This window comes from Homo sapiens, chromosome 13 (assembly GCF_000001405.40).
Source record: "Homo sapiens chromosome 13, GRCh38.p14 Primary Assembly".
Classification (NCBI taxonomy): Eukaryota; Metazoa; Chordata; class Mammalia; order Primates; family Hominidae; genus Homo; species Homo sapiens.
Genome location: NC_000013.11, coordinates 29,221,617 through 29,238,738, shown reverse-complemented (window position 1 = coordinate 29,238,738; position 17,122 = coordinate 29,221,617). Strand labels below are relative to the sequence as shown.

Genomic DNA, 17,122 nt, shown 5'->3' with positions numbered 1-17,122 from the left:
CTGTGAGGGTGTTGCCAAAGGAGATTAACATTTGAATCAGTGGACTAGGAGAGGCAGATCCACCCTTAATCTGGGTGAGCACTATCCCCTTGGCTGCCAGCAGAGCTAGAAAAAAGCAGGCAAAAGAAGGTGGCATTAGCAGACTTGCTCAGTCTTCCAGCCTTCATCTTTCTCCTATGCTGTATGCTTCCTGCCCTCAAAACATCACATTCCAAATTCTTGAGCTTTTAGGACTGTTGGACTTACATCAGTGGTTTGCCAGGGGCTCTTGGACCTTTGGCCGCAGACTGAAGGCTGCACTGTCAGCTTCCCTACTTTTGAGGTTTTGGGACTCGGACTGGCTTCCTTGCTCCTCAGCTTGCAGACAGCCTATTGTGAGACTTCACCTTGTGATGGTGTGAGTCAATACTCTTTAGTAAACTCCCTTTCATATTATACATCTATCCTATTAGTTCTGTCCCTCTAGAGAACCCTAATGCATGTTATCATAAATGACAGGATCTCCTTCTTTTTAAAGGCTGAACAACATTCCATTGTATGCTATATTTTTTAATTCACGTATCTGTCAATGGACATTAGGTTGTCTTCTTGTCTTGGCTGTTGTGAACAATGCTGTGATGAACATGGGAATGCAGAGATCCCTTCGACATACCAAGTTCAGTTCCTCTGGTATATACCCTGTCATGAGGTTGCTGGATCATATGGTAATTCTAATTTTTTGAGGAACCTCCATACTGTTATCCATAATGGCTGAACTAATTCATATCCCAACCAACAGTATACATGTTTCTTTTCTTTTTTTCTTTTTTTTACATTCTTATGAGCACTTATCTTCTGTCTTTTTGATAACAGCCATCTTAATGGGTGTGAGGTGCTATCTCATTCTGGTTTTGATGTGCATTTCCATGATGATTAATGAAGTTGAGCACACTTTCATATACTTGTTGGCCGTTTGTATGTCTTCTTTTGACAAATGTCTACTCAGGTCATTTGCCTATATTTTAGCAAAATAACTTTCAATTATAAAGTTGTGCTGAAATCAAGAAAGAGAAATCTCCAGGTATACAAAGTCAAGAGAGAATCGAAGTCACAGAAGTAATCCCAGAGTAGAAGCTGAAGCCAAAATGACAACAGACATACCCTTATTGTCTGGAGTCTTGATAGTCCTGTGGGCACTGGGTCCAGATAACAGATCACAGGGAGCTGGAGAGACTTACCCACCAAAAATCAGGACATGCAGGTCCTGGAGAATTCCACCCTCAGCCTGGAGAAGCAGCAGAGAAGCGTGAAATCTGCTTGGGGGCAGGGTGGTGGAATCAGCTGAAGAAAACTAGAGCCCTCTTAGCCTGAGACAAGGAGGATGTTGGGACTCAGGAAATCTAGGCTGAGAAATGACCCAAAAAAACCAGACCCACAGCTAGGGAAAGCTCCCTGGAGCTCTGGTAGGAAAATAAAATCATCTGTAAAGGATACTTCTCTAGCCCAGAGCACACAGGAGTGTCCTGGAAAGCCACCACAAATGAACATGAGCCCATAGTCAAAAGATTCTAAAATGTTAAAGAACCCTTTTAAATCACCTCCAGTGATCATATTTCTATATAACTAGACATAAATACCTAAAATAGAAGTAAGCCAGATCTGCTGGAAATTTTAAAAATGGTCTTCTACACAACTCTTAGATCAAGGAAGGCATCAAAACCACAACTGCAGAAAATAACAAATATTTAATGGGTACAGATGAAAACAGTTGGCCACTAGGGATAAGTTGATTCTTTTCTCTGTGTTTATTTTCCTGTCTTTCTCCTGCTCTTTCCAACAGAGAACAAGAATTGATACAATTGCTCACATTCCAGGACTCAGATTGGGATACATCTGTTAGTGATCAATATTAAAAATAGATCCATAGGTCTGAATGTTCTGCATTTCCCTTCCAGAAAGTCAGGATGGTAACAATAGCACCTGTTCCTGCATGGAAGAAGGCAGGAGCATCTCACCTCCTTTCTCTCTCTCTTCCTCCACTGGAGACCCTTCCATGGCCTAGACGAGCTGGACACTAGACATTCTGCACTAACAGCTTTTCCTTGCTCAGCATTACCTTTCTGTTTCCATTTCTCATAGCGTTGGTGGTCGTGTACTGTAACTATCCTAATACTGAATTGGATTTGGGCTTGCCCATTAAAATAAGTAAAATAGAAGAGTCTGCATGGTTGCCTTTCACCACAAGCTATTTCAACCTCTTCTGTCTAGGAAAAATTAGTGTTCCACACAGTTCACTCCAGCTTTCTAGGTTCTTGCCTAGGTTGTACTAGGGCTTGAGTTTTCAGGGAGTTTGTGGGAAAGTTGACTGACTGGGGTCAGAATTATGTGTCCTTATACTCCCAAAAATAATTTGATTAAAAAAATCTCACTCTAATTATGTAATAGAACATATCGAATACAAGACAATATTGAGTAAAATATACCTACTGTGCTAAGAGACAATAAAATAAATGAAGTAAGTGCTCAACAGAAGACGCTATAAAGAATCCAAAGAATTGCCCCCGGCAATTGAATGACCCTGACAAGCCAAAAGATGGATTTAAAGATAAAAAATAACAATAAATTAGAGGAGAAAGAGTAGATTAATAGGTTAAAGTTTTCTTTGAGGAAAAAAACTCAATATACCATACAAACATTTAGCTAATCAAGAAAAAATGCAAGTATATAATACTGGATATAGGAGGGGAAGACAGAGATTCAGATAAAATTTTAAGAACAATATGTTAGTAGATTAGAAAACTTGAGTGAAATGCGTAATTTTGTAGAAAAATGTTGTATATATTAATTGGAACACCTTAGTAGGCTAAAAAGCAAAAAATATCATTGAGAAAGTTGCCAGTTATTGATTTATAATAAGCTCCAGGCCAAAATGGTCATGAGTGAATCATAAAGAATTAATATGCAAATAACCTAGTCCAACAGTACAGAGAAAAATAATCCTAGAAAATCTATTTAAATAATTCATTCTGTCAATGAGTCAAGGATAAAAATCATAGAAGTCTGTTAATTATTGGTTTAAATAAACCTTTGAAAAAATTCAACATTTATTCTTGATTGAAAAAAAAGGATTGAATAAAATCTGAATCGGGATAATTCCTTAAAATGAACAAAGCATGCATTTCAGACCACACGTTTAATAGTTTCAACTGAACCATTAAGATTAACAAATACTAGAAGCATCCTCAATAAAGCTCAAGTGAGATAATAATTTAACATCACTATTTTTGAATATTATTTAAGAGGTACAGTTAAAATGAGAACTTTTTTTAAGGTTTAAATATTAGAAATGATAAAAATTACCATTATTGGCCGGGTGCGGTCGCTCATGCCTGCAATCCCAGCACTTTGGGAGGCCGAGGAGGGCAGATCACTTGAGGTCAGGAGATCGAGATTAGCCTGACCAACATGGAGAAACCCCATCTCTACCAAAAATACAAAATTAGCCAGGCGTGGTGGCGCATGCCTATCCCAGCTACTCGGAAGGCTGAGGCAGAAGAACTGCTTGAACCCAGGAGGCGGAGGTTGCGGTGAGCTGAGATCGTGCCACTGCACTCCAGCCTGGGCAACAAGAGCAAAACCAGGTCTCAAAAAAATTAATTAATTAATTAATTAACTAAATTAAATTTGAAAAATTACCATTACTTGCAGATGATATTAACATACTAAGTCCAAAAATAATCCACTGAAAATATCATTAACAATATGCATTAAATTAAATGATCAACTGACAGCTTGATTAGTTTAAGAAAGAACATTAAAAATCCCACTTAAATTATTTACAAATAAATAAAAACTTGTATATAAATTTAACTGAAAACATAAGAGACTAATAAAAAAAAAGTGGTAACTCCTATTTTTTGGGGAAGTGGCCTTGAAAAACTGATATCCAAAGGCCATGTTGAAGGATAAATCTGTGAGAATAGGAGGGGTTGTGGGGAATAGAAGAGGAAGCGTTAAGGGGGTGTACCACCTAAATGCTATACTATTACATAGTGGGAAACAGACTAATCCACGAAATGAAGGGTACAGAAGGAGATCTCAGCAGGTGACAGAAACAGCATTATAAATCAGAAAAAAAGGAGTTTTTTTCTAAGTGTTTGTACAATTGGTTAGCCATTTGGCTACAAATCAGGCTTGACCTCATTTTCAGGCTTTCCATCAAAATAATTTTTTAAATAAAAGATAGCTTTACCTAAATAATGGTAGAAACATGCAACTGAATACTATGTAGTCATTAAAGAGTTTGGTGCATGGTTATATTCATCAGTAAAGAATGACCTGTTGGATAGGTCATATTATGCTGCAGAAATGCTTGTGTAAGATAATCTCTTACAAAATTATTCACAAGTCTATGTGCATTTACCAATATCACGTGTGGAGGAGTCTTCGGTGGAATCCTCAGGCATGGTGAGAGAGGGTCCAGAGCATGCCTGTCTGTACACTACTGAAGCCCCAACACCTGGCCTGCACAGAATATAGTAGGTGCTCAATAGATATCTTTGAAGTGAAAAATCGAAATCAATTATTATGTGTTTATGTTTTTTAACTGTTTTATATTATAAAACCATATTATCATTATAATGGAAGAGGGACTGGAAGCTATTTTCCCTCCAGAAAAGCCAATTTATGTACTGCAGGGCAAAAATCATGACTGACTCTTGACCTGAAATTCACTGAATAACTGCTGATTTTCCCATTTTTTCTTAAAAATGTAGGCTTAGTCCTACGTAGCTTCTCTTTTGAGAAGCAGCTACAAAAATAATTGTCTGTTACTTCCCTTTGCCATGTGAGGTATGGCAGTGGCAGTATTCCATTTCAACTTTTCAAATGTCTTTTTCAGATGAGAATAACCTTCTGAAATGGGAATGACTAAAATGGCTCAGGTTTTTTTCTTCCAAAAGCATTCAAAAGAGTTGTTTTCCTTCCTTTCCTGTCAATCTCCAGGTGATATGTTAGATTTACCTCTCCCTTTTCGAAATCATGGCAGAAATGTTTCCCTGGAAATAGCAACTTCTTAGACAGAATTAAAAAGCTGAGATTGGATCACCACAAATACAAAATGTCTGTGGGTGAGTGAAAATACAAAATCACATTTCTCCCAGCACGAGGTTCTGAATTTTAGCTTGTTATTGGCATCTCCAGCAGGTTGCTGTTAACTACCAGTGGTAATAAAACTATTCAGCTACGTGCTTCAGACTACCAAACCTATATAAAGAGAAATATAAAATGACATCAATCATGAATGTCGACGATAGTTTTACTGTTATACTTCCGGGTAGACTTCACGGTGGGTACACTTCCCTACTTCGTCCCAAGATGCCTGTGGGGTCAGTGTGATCATCCCCCCTGGTGATATCACAAGTCTGTTCTCACCGATTGTCTAAGCCAAGTCCACTTTTTGGTCACCTATGTCCAACTGTGCTAGGCTCAGGGTGTTTCTACATTACCCCAAACTTTTTTTTTTTTCTTAAAAAATGCAAAAACCAAAACCCTCAATAAATAGCACTAAGCAATCATCCAACTACATCACAGTCGGAAGAATGAAGTGGAAAGAAAGGTGAACCTTATTAACCTATTTTTCAAAAAGGCAACAGTAAGGCCAACACATGATGGAATAATTTCACATGGTATTTACTAACTCTGCTTTCACATGACTTCAGAGTCATTTTGCTGTTCTTTTTGTTAATGTCCAGGCCCAATCCTTTTGTTTTCTTTTTGGACAGGAGACTCTGAACATTTAGGAACATTCACTGTGAAATCCCTCCTAATTCAGTTGAAAACAACAGCCGAATTTTAAATTCAAACACTTTAAATCTTGTGAGGAATGCTTTCACTCCCACAACGTTTAATACAGACATTTCTCCTGGAATAGCTAATGCTCCATGTTGTGAAAACAGAATTTTCTACCTACCTGAACTAAAGCAGGAAGCAAACAGTAATTAATTCTGAATCATAGGTAACGTGAGGAAACCCAGACAGTACTAACTCCCCCTTCTCTCCACATAGTCAAATCTATTAAGCTAAAAATGAGCAAAAGGTAGATAGAACTACCCAGTTAATTCAGGTAAAAAAATAAGCCACTTAAGCAAACTAACTATCATTCTTTGAACTCTTTCTGCTTTGATTTTCAACTTTTCAGATCAAAAATATTTTCTGTAAAACAGATTAGAAACCCGTAGTGTCCTGAACTCGGAGTCGGGAGTCCAGAGTCTGGTCTTACTCTTCCCCCCCAATGGCTATTTATTTTACATATACTCTAAAGTTCCATCCAGCTCTCACATTCTTGGAATTTATGATTACATAAAACTGAGGTTTTAAACTGACACAAGCCCAATCAGCACAATATACATGTGTGTGCCCATATGTGTATGTGTGCGTGTGTGTGTGTGTGTGCGCGCGCGCGTGTGTGTGTGTGTGTGTGTATGTATGTATATTCTGTTTGGCCTACACATTGTTTTTGGAAATCATGTTATTAATTAACAACATTCAAACTTGAGGAATTTCCTACAAAAATCTGAATTTCTGGCTTTTATTAATAAAAGCAGAAGATCTGGAAATACTAAATGATACCTAGCTGCAGTGAGGTAGAGACTTTGCACCTTTAGACAGGGCATGTATTCCTTTGCCACAGTCTCCACTGCCTATACAACTCTTAGGCCAAATGTAAATTACCATTAGTTGTCAAACTGTGCTTTTATTTCTCTTTTATTTGAATATAAGTAAAAAAATTCTTATATCCTCATATTAAAGCAACAAAATAAAGATCCAAAATACTGAATGTGCCATAAAAATGTGAGAAAATAATTTTCTTCACTTCCATGTAAAAATATGTTAGGTGTTTAACATGCAAATAAGCATATCTGTACTGAAGGAATACAGCATACGATGACATTTTGAAATAAACCACAATAAATGCTGGCATAGGGCAAGATTTATGATGAAAACTTAATAACATGAGAAAAAAGAACTACAACTTCAGTAAGATTTGTTTCTGAATGTGAACAAATAGCTGTTGCAACTGTGAAATAATGAGTTAAGTGAACTGCTGAACATGAAGCCTTTTAGGGGTGATGAGTTTTTAAAAGTGTTTATTGAATGTAGCTGTAATCGTGTATCCTGAACACACAGAAATAACCTTTTGTAAATATAAGTGTAGCCTGAAACACTGTTGTTCAGGGTATTGAAGAATTAGTGCAAAACGTGCAGGACAAGTTGCATGAAAAGATAAATTATTTGTGACATTTTCTATCACAGCTGATGTGAGCACTGTAAGCTCTATCTGTGATGTGATGAGAAATTTGGTGTGACCGAAGAAATGGTGGACATGGTGCCGATGAAACAGACAGCAGCAGGAAAGTATTTAGTTTTGTGTGTTGGAAAAAGTTTTAAAAAACTTTTTTAAAGGAGCTTAATGTAATAAGAATATCTAAAATTTTCCTCCTGGGGATGGTAATTTCATACGTGCTATAAAACATAACATGTTTATATTATAATATTCAATAACAACATTTTATAGAAATTATTTATGTCAGTTCATTGAATCATTCACCAGGAAATTCTTTGTACTAAAACCTTAAAAACACACATAATAAAATGATGAGTGAGATGGTTTGAACTGCTTGGGGCTTGAACCACAGCAATTCAATGCTTGGCTGGATGGATCAGATGTACAACATGGTATTTGGCTATGCTATATAAAATCAGATTATGGTATTAAAGATATTTTCTAAAGTACTGAAAGAAATCCTTTTTTCCCGTAATGCAGGCAAAATCCAATGGTGAAAAAAGGATTAAAGACTTGCCATTCTTGTGTGATGCTGCAACCCACCTAAATACTCTTCTGCATAGATATTCAGAAGGGAACACAAATATAGGAACTCACTGGTAAGGTTATCTGGCATGAACAATGCATCTCATTTTCCTATACTGAAATCAGTCTCCAGAAATAAAAATAAAGGCCTGCACTCTAGTCCTGAAATTGTGAAGTTGAAGCCTTAACTCTTCCAAAGTTACCTGATTTCAAAGTTTGTGAAAATAAATAATGCTTAATTGACATTTCTCATTATCACATGTTCAGCCTGCTTCTGACTATGAGGAAGTTGCTTATATCAGACCAACCCTCTCACTGAAAACAGCAAAAATCACAAGGCTACTTGAAGGTATTAGAGAGCAATAACAGCAGCTAGGATTTGTGCACGTTAATGCCAGCATGAAGCAAAACATATAAAGATGTAAGCCAGGCCTTCGCTGCTGATTTTTCTCCTTGGGTCCTTTGCTGACTTGGAGCACAGAATACCGAAGTAGAGAAGAAAGCAGCAACCTAGAGCTCCAAGCAGTCTCACAAGGTGATTTTATCAGTTTCTTCTCTCTTGATTTTTAGTTATTTAATGGTCCTTGTTCTTGGAATGCCTGGTAATTTTTATTTTTTATTTTATTTTTGTATTTTTATTTTTTGAGACGGAGTCTTGCTCTGTCTCCCAGGCTGGGGCGCAGTGGCGTGATCTCAGCTCACTGCAAGCTCCGCCTCCTGGGTTCACTCCATTCTCCTGCCTCAGCCTCCCGAGTAGCTGGAACTACAGGTGCCCACCACCATGCCCGGCTAATTTTTTGTATTTTTAGTAGAGACAGGGTTTCACTGTGTTAGCCAGGATGATCTTGGTCTCCTGACCTCGTGATCCGCCTGCCTCGGCCACCCAAAGTGCTGGGATTACAGGCGTGAGCCATTGTGCCCGGCCCAATACTTGGTAATTTTTAAAAGTCGAATGCTATACATTGTGTATAAAACTTTTTAGAGGTTCTTGATGATGTCGTCTTCATTCATAAAAAAATATAATTTTTATCTGGCTGCCAGTAAAAGTATGAGCAAATCACTGGCCAGATATAAGTTTAATCTAAATAAGGAAGAAATGTACACAAATGAAAATGGTTTACCTCTGAGGATAGTGAGTTTCCTATAATAACAGGAAAGAGTTCAGAAATTTTGGCCAAGCACTTTGTGGAAGTGTTTCAGAAAAGATTCCTGTATCTGAGGTATTGTTGGATTTTATACCTTTAAGATTTCCTCCTGAAACTGAGATTGTGAGTTTATTTTTAAAGACAAAGAAATTAAAATGGTAAATTGAGACCGAGTCCAACCCAAACATCCAAATTTAACTACAGGATTCATACTTTTAAAGCAACATGAAACACATTAGAGGTCCATGTGAATCTCTGTCGTTAATAATATAGCTACTTTGGATGGCTCCATGAAAATGTCAATGGGAAAGGAATCTGCATTTAGTATCGTACATATTAAAAGTGTCCTTGACCCTGAACCATGATAAAGTGGATTAAGAAGACAGACTGTTCCAAGTAAAGGTCAAGAAAATGAGTGAAAATGTTGAGGACAAAGTACTTTACAATGAAACTAATGGTTCAGATGCAGAAATTACACGAAAGCTAGAGGTCAAAACAAAGTTAAAGTCAGTGACCAAAGGTGGAACACAGAAAACAACCAAGAATTACTGCAGAAAACTAGAGGTCAAATCAGGTGATGCATGAAAGACAGGGGAGCCAGCAGAAACCAACCCCAGAATCAAGGTATCAAAGTCTCGGGGGCCTTTAAAATGATCACAGTCTGCCTCAGTGAAGAAGCCCCTCAGTGTTAACTTCATGGCAGAATCAACAGGACCTTCGTGGATGCAGGCATGCTAGCAGCCGGAGGCAGTGCAGTGGCTTATCCTTGGTGGATCTTTGTCCTAAGGATATTGTCTTGTCCACGTTTCTCAAGCCAATGCATAGCTGTTCCCAGAGCTATGTTGTTATGGGTCAAGAAGAATGCAAAGCACAAACCTGTGCATTTTTTCAATTTTACAAGAAGGGAGAAAATTTGTTTATCTAAAATTTGTATTACATATATCACACGTCTAATTTTATGTAATGATATAAAAGGGATGTTTTCTTCCCCCCCTTCTCCTTTCTCTTCATTTTTGCTTCCTTCATCCTCTCCTCTCTCTGCACCCCTTCCACCTCAGACAACCTGGTGAGTTACTTAGTTCCTCATGCTAATATTAGTTACAAAGCATATATGTACACACACAGGGCCAGGCCTAGTGTCTCATGCCTGCAATCCCAACAATTTGGGAGGCTGAGGCAGGAGGACTGCTTGAGCCCAGGAGTTTGGGACCAGCCTGGGCAACATAGTGAGGCTCTAACAAAAATTAAACAAAAAAAATAGCCAGGTGTGGTGGCACACTCCTGATGTTCCAGCTACTTAGGAAGCTGAGATGGGAGGCACACTTAAGCCCAGGAGGTTGTGGCTGCAGTGAGCTATGGTCACGTCACTGTACTTCAGCCTGGGCAACAGAGTGAGATCCCATATCTAAAAAAAGAGGTGGGCTCTTTACACTTTCTTGCATTTTACTTTACTCACGGGAATCCCTTCAAATCATCTGGCAGATTTCCAATTCATTCTCTTTAATGTCTGTACAGTATTCCACGACATGGAGGCTCCACAATTTATCACGTATTCACCCACTCCCCTACTGAATGCCATTCATTTCATTCCAATTTTTGCCATGACATGTGGTCATAAATATCATTATGCATATATCTTCATGTATTGATGCTTTTATTTCTGTGAGACAGATTCTTAGGAGTAAGATTGCTGGGTGAAAAAGCATACATATAAAATAGATACTGCCAAATTGCTTTCCAAAAAGGATGCAATAATTCACAAATGTAAGAAAAAACACTATAATTCTATTAATATAAAACTGGATATGTTTTGGAATAGAATACAAAAGTTACATAATTGTTTGGAAGACATATAAGACTTTAACAAAACATGGGACTTTCAGCCATCCACACCTTAATATTCTCTATGGCATGTGTTTTCTTTTCACTGCCAAGTTTGAGAGGCCCTAGATTGCATAATAGAAATAGTATGTAACTTCTAGGAGTAGCACATGACTCTCTTGTTTGGTGGAGTGTGCAACAGCAAAGCCTAACAGTTTTATTCCAAGGATAAAGTAACTTCCCTCTCAGAGGTTAGAGAGATAGCATTCCTGCCTATAATTTCATCTTCCCTTGTTTTCCACAAAAGGAAAGAATGCCAACCCATGTAGCACCAGAAAACCCTCAGATTCTCCTTGGTATGATGGTATGGAAGCTGTCTTAGAAGCAAATTCAAGAGATTGCCTTGATTTAATTCTTGGCTTCTTCTCTGGCAGGAAGAGAAGCCAAAGGGCTCAGGTCACTTGGTGCAGCTTAAGACAGCGAGCCCCTCGGGTCACTTGCCTGGGTGCTACAGACACATTCATAGTGGCAAAGAGATATTTAATCAATAGCTGAAACTCCCAAAGAGGGGCAAACCTCTCTCAATTTGTCATGACATAACACCACGGGTTTTCTTTTTGAGGATGAAGCTGCCTCTACGCAGTTTCTTTTTTTTTTTTTTTTTTGAGACGGAGTCTTGCTCTGTTGCAAAGGCTGGAGTGCAGTGGCCCAACCTCAGCTCACTGCAGCCTCTGCCTCCCAGGTTCAAGTGATTCTCCTACCCCAGCCTCCCGAGTAGCTCGTATTACAGGCACACACTACCACACCCAGCTAATTTTTTGTATTTTTAGTAAAGACAGGGTTTCGCCATGTTGGGCAGGCTGGTCTCAGACTCCTGATCTCAAGAGATCCACCTGCCTCAGCCTCCCAAAGTGCTAGGATTACAGGCATGACCCACCGCCCCCAGCCCCTATGCAGATTCAAGTCCAGGACACATGTAAGAAGGGAAGAGAAGACTTGAGAACCCTGCTATCATTCTGAAACCTGTAATCACTCTTCTTGAAAGGATTCTGAGATCAAACAACATCTTTACAATGGCTTAATTTTGGCTTTTAAGTAAAGCTTTAAAAGTAACAAAGCTTACATGTATGGCTATTGATTATTTCTATTTATTCAAATATTTTTCCTTTGGCTATTCAAAGGCATAGATTCCTTTTCCTCAGTAAAAATTTTAATATTAAAGAGACTTCAAGTATAAATAAAGGTAATTCAAGTTTTAAGGAATTTATTTCCACATTTTAGAATTCTGATGAACCCTACTAAATTTTATAGTCTTAAAAGCTTTGGAGAAAAAAATTAATATTTATCTAATATTTAAAATTTTAAAATATCAAAACAACAAATACAGGTCCTGTTTTGGGAGTGCAAATGAAGTTTCCTTGAAGTATCAAGTGATGGTGGCCTCTGACTGAGGGAAGGTGCCTAGCTCTCTGAATTCTTCATCTGAAAAGCTTTGATATTTTAATATTTTAAGTGAAAAGCTTTGATATTTTAATATTTTAAGTCAAATGCTGTCATCCCCTTCTCTTGATAGTATAAATGAGAATATGAAAAGCCACCTAAGTTTAGCAGTTAAATTTCACTGTACATGTCAAATATTATTTGGTGAAACCTACAATGAACTATTTCCAAGTATCTTTATTCCATTTTCATCTTTTAAACATGTATCTTTTAACTTAACCTAAAGTGAATGTAAATCTGACAGCCCCATGAAGAATATGTAATGTTATCTTTTTAATCTGGGGGAGGCTGCTTCTCTGGCATGGTTTAAGGTTGGGTGGAATGATGAAGATGAGATGCAGGCTAATATTAACTCAGCAGAACACTAGAAAGTACGGCCAGCACTAACCAAAATTTAATATGGCATTTTTGGAGATACAACCCTAATTCTAAAGGACATATCAATTCCAGGTTGATTACCATTGTTGTTCTATAAGCTTGAAGTAATGAACATACACAGTTTACTAAAGAGAAGGCGCAATTTCTTATTTACTTAGACTGTTGACAAATTGTTGAAAAAAATTACACAGAGTATGGTACATCCCAGGACAATACTAATACTGTATTATCATTCTTGTTCCAAAACACACACTAGATATTCTATTAACAGAAAATATTCTTTCGGTCAGCACATGAGCACAGCGATAATTTATGATCAGCAAAAAACCGTCAGATTTTCTGACACCACCTTACCTAAACTGGTAAAAACATTTTGATGCTAATTTGTTACGACAAGGAAACTAAAGAGAATTCATTTCAGCTATTTAAATCCTGTCACTGATGTCCATGCTTATGGCTCAGATAAACTATTCAGATGTCTCTTTCTAATCATCTTTCTTAAATTAATCTTTCAGCTGGTGGATCATGATATGATTTACCAAAAGAATGTCACCCTCAATTCTATGATTGTGTAAAGAGAGACAGAAGCAGGGGGTTGAAATGTACACAATTGCCCCGTTGTGATAGGAAAATCTTACAATAACACTGCGTAACTTTGGAAATTATTTTTTTAAATCAGATTTGAGGATGGGTTGAAAGGGCAAAATATGATCACACTATGATGTATATCCTCTGCTCTGACATATGCCAGTAACGGATTAAAAATATAAATAGAAGAAACCATGGTCCTCTTGCAAATGAAGAAAGAGTTGAGAATCAGAATTGGAAGAGAACACAAAGACAGGGAAGGGCTTGAGCCTTCAGCTCACCAGGCTCCCAGGCTGCAGGCAGGCTCCTACAGGAGGCAGGAACTGGGTGTGCTCTGCTGCCCAGGGTAGGCTGACAAGGAGCCAGTCTTGTGAAGGAAGCTGAGCAAAGCCTGCTGCTCACTGATGCCTGGGCCCCAGCTTCTGGGAGGCTGCAGCCCTAGGAAAGGTGGAGGAAGCAGACACAGCCTGGTGACCAGGAACCACCGCAGCCCCTCAACTCCCACTAAACCCTGGTGCAGTGATTGGATCAGTAATAATATCATCATTGGACAGGAGCTCAAGTTGCCTGTGAAGACCTCATTCTGGATTGGAGTCTCCAGAACTTGGTGGATTGGAGGCCCCAGAACTTGGTGGACATAACCACTAAATAGGGAGGGCAAATATTGTGGGAAAAAGAGAAACAGTAGCAACAACAAAATGAGCCTGTGAACAAAAGCTACAAAACTACTTAAGCCACACAATGCTAAGAAAGACAGCAAAAAGCACTACATGAATTTATCACAAAAGAATTAAATTTATGGACCAGACTGATGAAGATTTTAAAATAAGAATATTTAGGATACTTAGAAAATAAATTAAGGTACACCCATTTTAAAAATACCCCCAAATTATGGAACAAAACAGCTATAAAACAACATATAGATATAGGAGAGATATAATTAGAATTTTTGGAAATAAAAGATTTGGCCATTTAAATAAATAAAAACAGTCCAGATGGGATTAACTCTGGACTGTGCAATGAAGAACAGTATAAAAAAAAAGACATTAAAAAAAGAGTAGCTAAGCAACATGGAAAATAAATAAAGCGTAAGAGAAATATTTGAAGGGATAATAGCTGGAAAAATGTAAAGCACTCAGGACTACATCTTACAGAAGACATGAAGGGCCTTTTTGAAGTAAATTACAATATATTGCCAAGGTACTACGAGAGCACTTGATCATATGCAAATGTCATAGGATCCTTGGGGTGTCACTTTTCTGGCCAGAAACCTTTATGGCCAGTGGCACCTTTACCTGAGTTTTGCTTGGGTCCACTGGGCTCGTTCCACCCACTCAACCTGGCAGGTTGCGCTCCACTTGTGCTACCAGCCTGGATCCCATTCCTGCCAAGGGCAACCAGGTGTGGAGCAGCAAGGAATGTGTGAGTGAGAGAGTGTGGGGTCCAGCCACTGTGCACAGCCAGGCATGGTGGCTGCAGCAGGGCAGACAGCTCCAGGTGCCAGCACAGGCGCTGGTTCCGTGCAAGGCTGTGGTTGGACCAGATGTACCACAAGCAGCTTTCATGGCTGGCACAGGGAATGTGGTGGCTCCTGGAAGCTTGAGGACAAAAGGAACTGCAGAACTCCAAAGAGGGTGTCACAGCCCTGGCTCAGGGAGCTCCTAGTTCTGGACTCCCAGGAGGGCCACAGATCCTCTCTCCTTTCTTCTCTCCTTCTCATCACCTCCAACATGGTGAGCAAGGGGCATGTTTCAGCCTGTTTGTGTTACAGTTCTTTTGGCCACACAATTCAATGGGTCCCAAGTTCTTGTCCCATGTCCAGGAAGAATGAGGCTCATGGAGAGGTGGAGGGTGAGCCAGACAAAGAGGTGCTTTATTGAGTGTCAGAACATCTCAGAGGAGACTTGCAGTGGGTAGCTACTCTCTGCAGACAGGTTGTCCCAACATCTGATCAGCTCTCAGCAGAGGGGAGACCTGCAGTGAGTAGCTCATGTCCACGGGCAGGTTGTCCTGAAGTCTACTCAGCTCTCAGCAGAGGGGAGACCCACAGTATGTAGCTCTCCACAGGCAGGGCATCCATCATCTGTTCAGTTCTCAGCAAAGAGGAGGCCCACAGTGGGTAGCTCCACTCCACAGGCAGGTCATCCTGTCACCTGCCCCAGTCTGGTTGAGTCCAGGGATTTTATGGGCTTCAGAGGGGAGAAATTCCATGCTGATTTGTCCATGGGTGGCCATGGACAGGCCCAAAGAAAGCACCGTAAGTTCTCACTCCAGTCCACAGAACTGGCAGCCTGGGCCCCCAGGCCTTGGGCTATCCCTGACATGAGGGTGGGGTTTCACTAGGGACCCACCCCTTTCTGCCCAGAAGCCCATCTGCCTCCTGCTGCCATTAACCTGCCATCCATGGTGCCCACAGTGTCCAGACTGTTTGTGCCAAGGGGTGTCTGTGGGCCCACACTGAGCCACCCTTAGTCCTGACTTGGCCTCTGTCCCATGTTCGTTGGTGCCCAAAGTCCAGAGGGGGCCGAGACAGCTCAGAGCTGGCATGTTGGTGATGTCCTGAGTGTGTGCACACCTAGCTGGGTTGTGACAGCACTGGGGATTGGCCACAACTTTGCTCCGCAATTGGAGCAGATGCCAGGAGAGGGGAGAGGTCAGGCAGTGACAGCAGGCACTTCTGAGCCTGTAGGAAAGGGAGTCTTCCTGGGCCTGAGAGTGCAGAGATGCCTGGGTCCACAGCCATGGTTGGGCAGCTGCAGCTGCACCCAGGAGGGCGGGGCTCCCACCCCTCCAACTTGGAAGGGGTGGGGTTCTCACCCGTTCCTGGCTCCTGCTGGCTCTGTGGAGCATGCAGCCCCAGCTACGCCTCTCCCACTGCAGCTGGCATCATGGCAGCGTCTGCTCCAGACAGGCCACCACCTCCATCACAAAGATATAGCATATTCACTTGAAAAAGAAAAGATCATAAATATCAGTTATCCCAAAATTATTCTATTAACTCGAAGAATAATTTTAATATAAATCCTAACAACTGCACAAATTAATCCTAAAATTCATACATAAAAACAAAGGTTCAAGAACAGATAAGAGAATAATAAAGAAAAAAGAATGGCAGAAATCTCCCTGCCAGATCTCAAAATTTATGCTAAAATTATAAAAATTAAAATGGTGCAGTACTAGTACAGTGATAAACAGACAGACTACAATAGAATAGAGAGCTCAGAAACAAGCCTACACACAAGTAAAATCAATGACACAGCAGTTAACCACGGACATGTGCAAAGACAAACTTAAATAAATAGTTCCTGAACTGCCAGTTATTTCTGTAAAAAATCAAATAAAATTAAGCTGGGCATGGTGTCATCTGCCAGTAGTCCCACTACTCGGAAGGCTGAGGCAGGAGGATTGTTTGAGCTAGGAGTTCAAGGCTCTAGTGTGCTATGATGGTGCCTATAAATAGCCACTGCACTCCAGTCTGGGCAATATAGTGAGACTCTATCTCTAAAAAGAAAATAAAATGAGACATCTATCGCATGGTATCCATAAAAATCAGTTGATCAGTTGCAGGAGAAATAAGAACTATAATATGAAAAGTGAAACTTGAAACCTTATGGAAAATATATTGGGAAAAAAACACAGGTAAGGAAGATTTCTAAAGAAACAAAAACAGCACAAACAATAATGGAAATGAATGGTAAACTGGAGTAAAACTTTAAGAATTTCTAAAGAAACAAAAAGAACACAAATCATAATGAAAAAGAATGATAAATTTGATTAAAAATAAAATTAAAAACTTCTATCTAAAAAAGGCACCATAAGTAAATTTAAAATATATTTGTTA

The 17,122-nt window shown here is 39.4% G+C and overlaps 1 protein-coding gene across 13 annotated transcripts in view, besides 1 other annotated feature; it reads right to left on the bottom strand.

Moving 5' to 3' along the window:
- Positions 1 to 17,122, bottom strand: part of MTUS2 (microtubule associated scaffold protein 2) — a 685,985-nt gene that overhangs the window by 267,209 nt on the left and 401,654 nt on the right. The window lies entirely within an intron of this gene.
- Positions 15,350 to 15,849: an enhancer, noted in NCBI's record as "H3K4me1 hESC enhancer chr13:29797027-29797526 (GRCh37/hg19 assembly coordinates)". NCBI's record gives its function as "activates a minimal SCP1, AML or CMV promoter by ChIP-STARR-seq in naive H9 embryonic stem cells {active_cell/tissue: H9 hESC(naive)}" and the evidence as "EXISTENCE:reporter gene assay evidence [ECO:0000049][PMID:30033119]".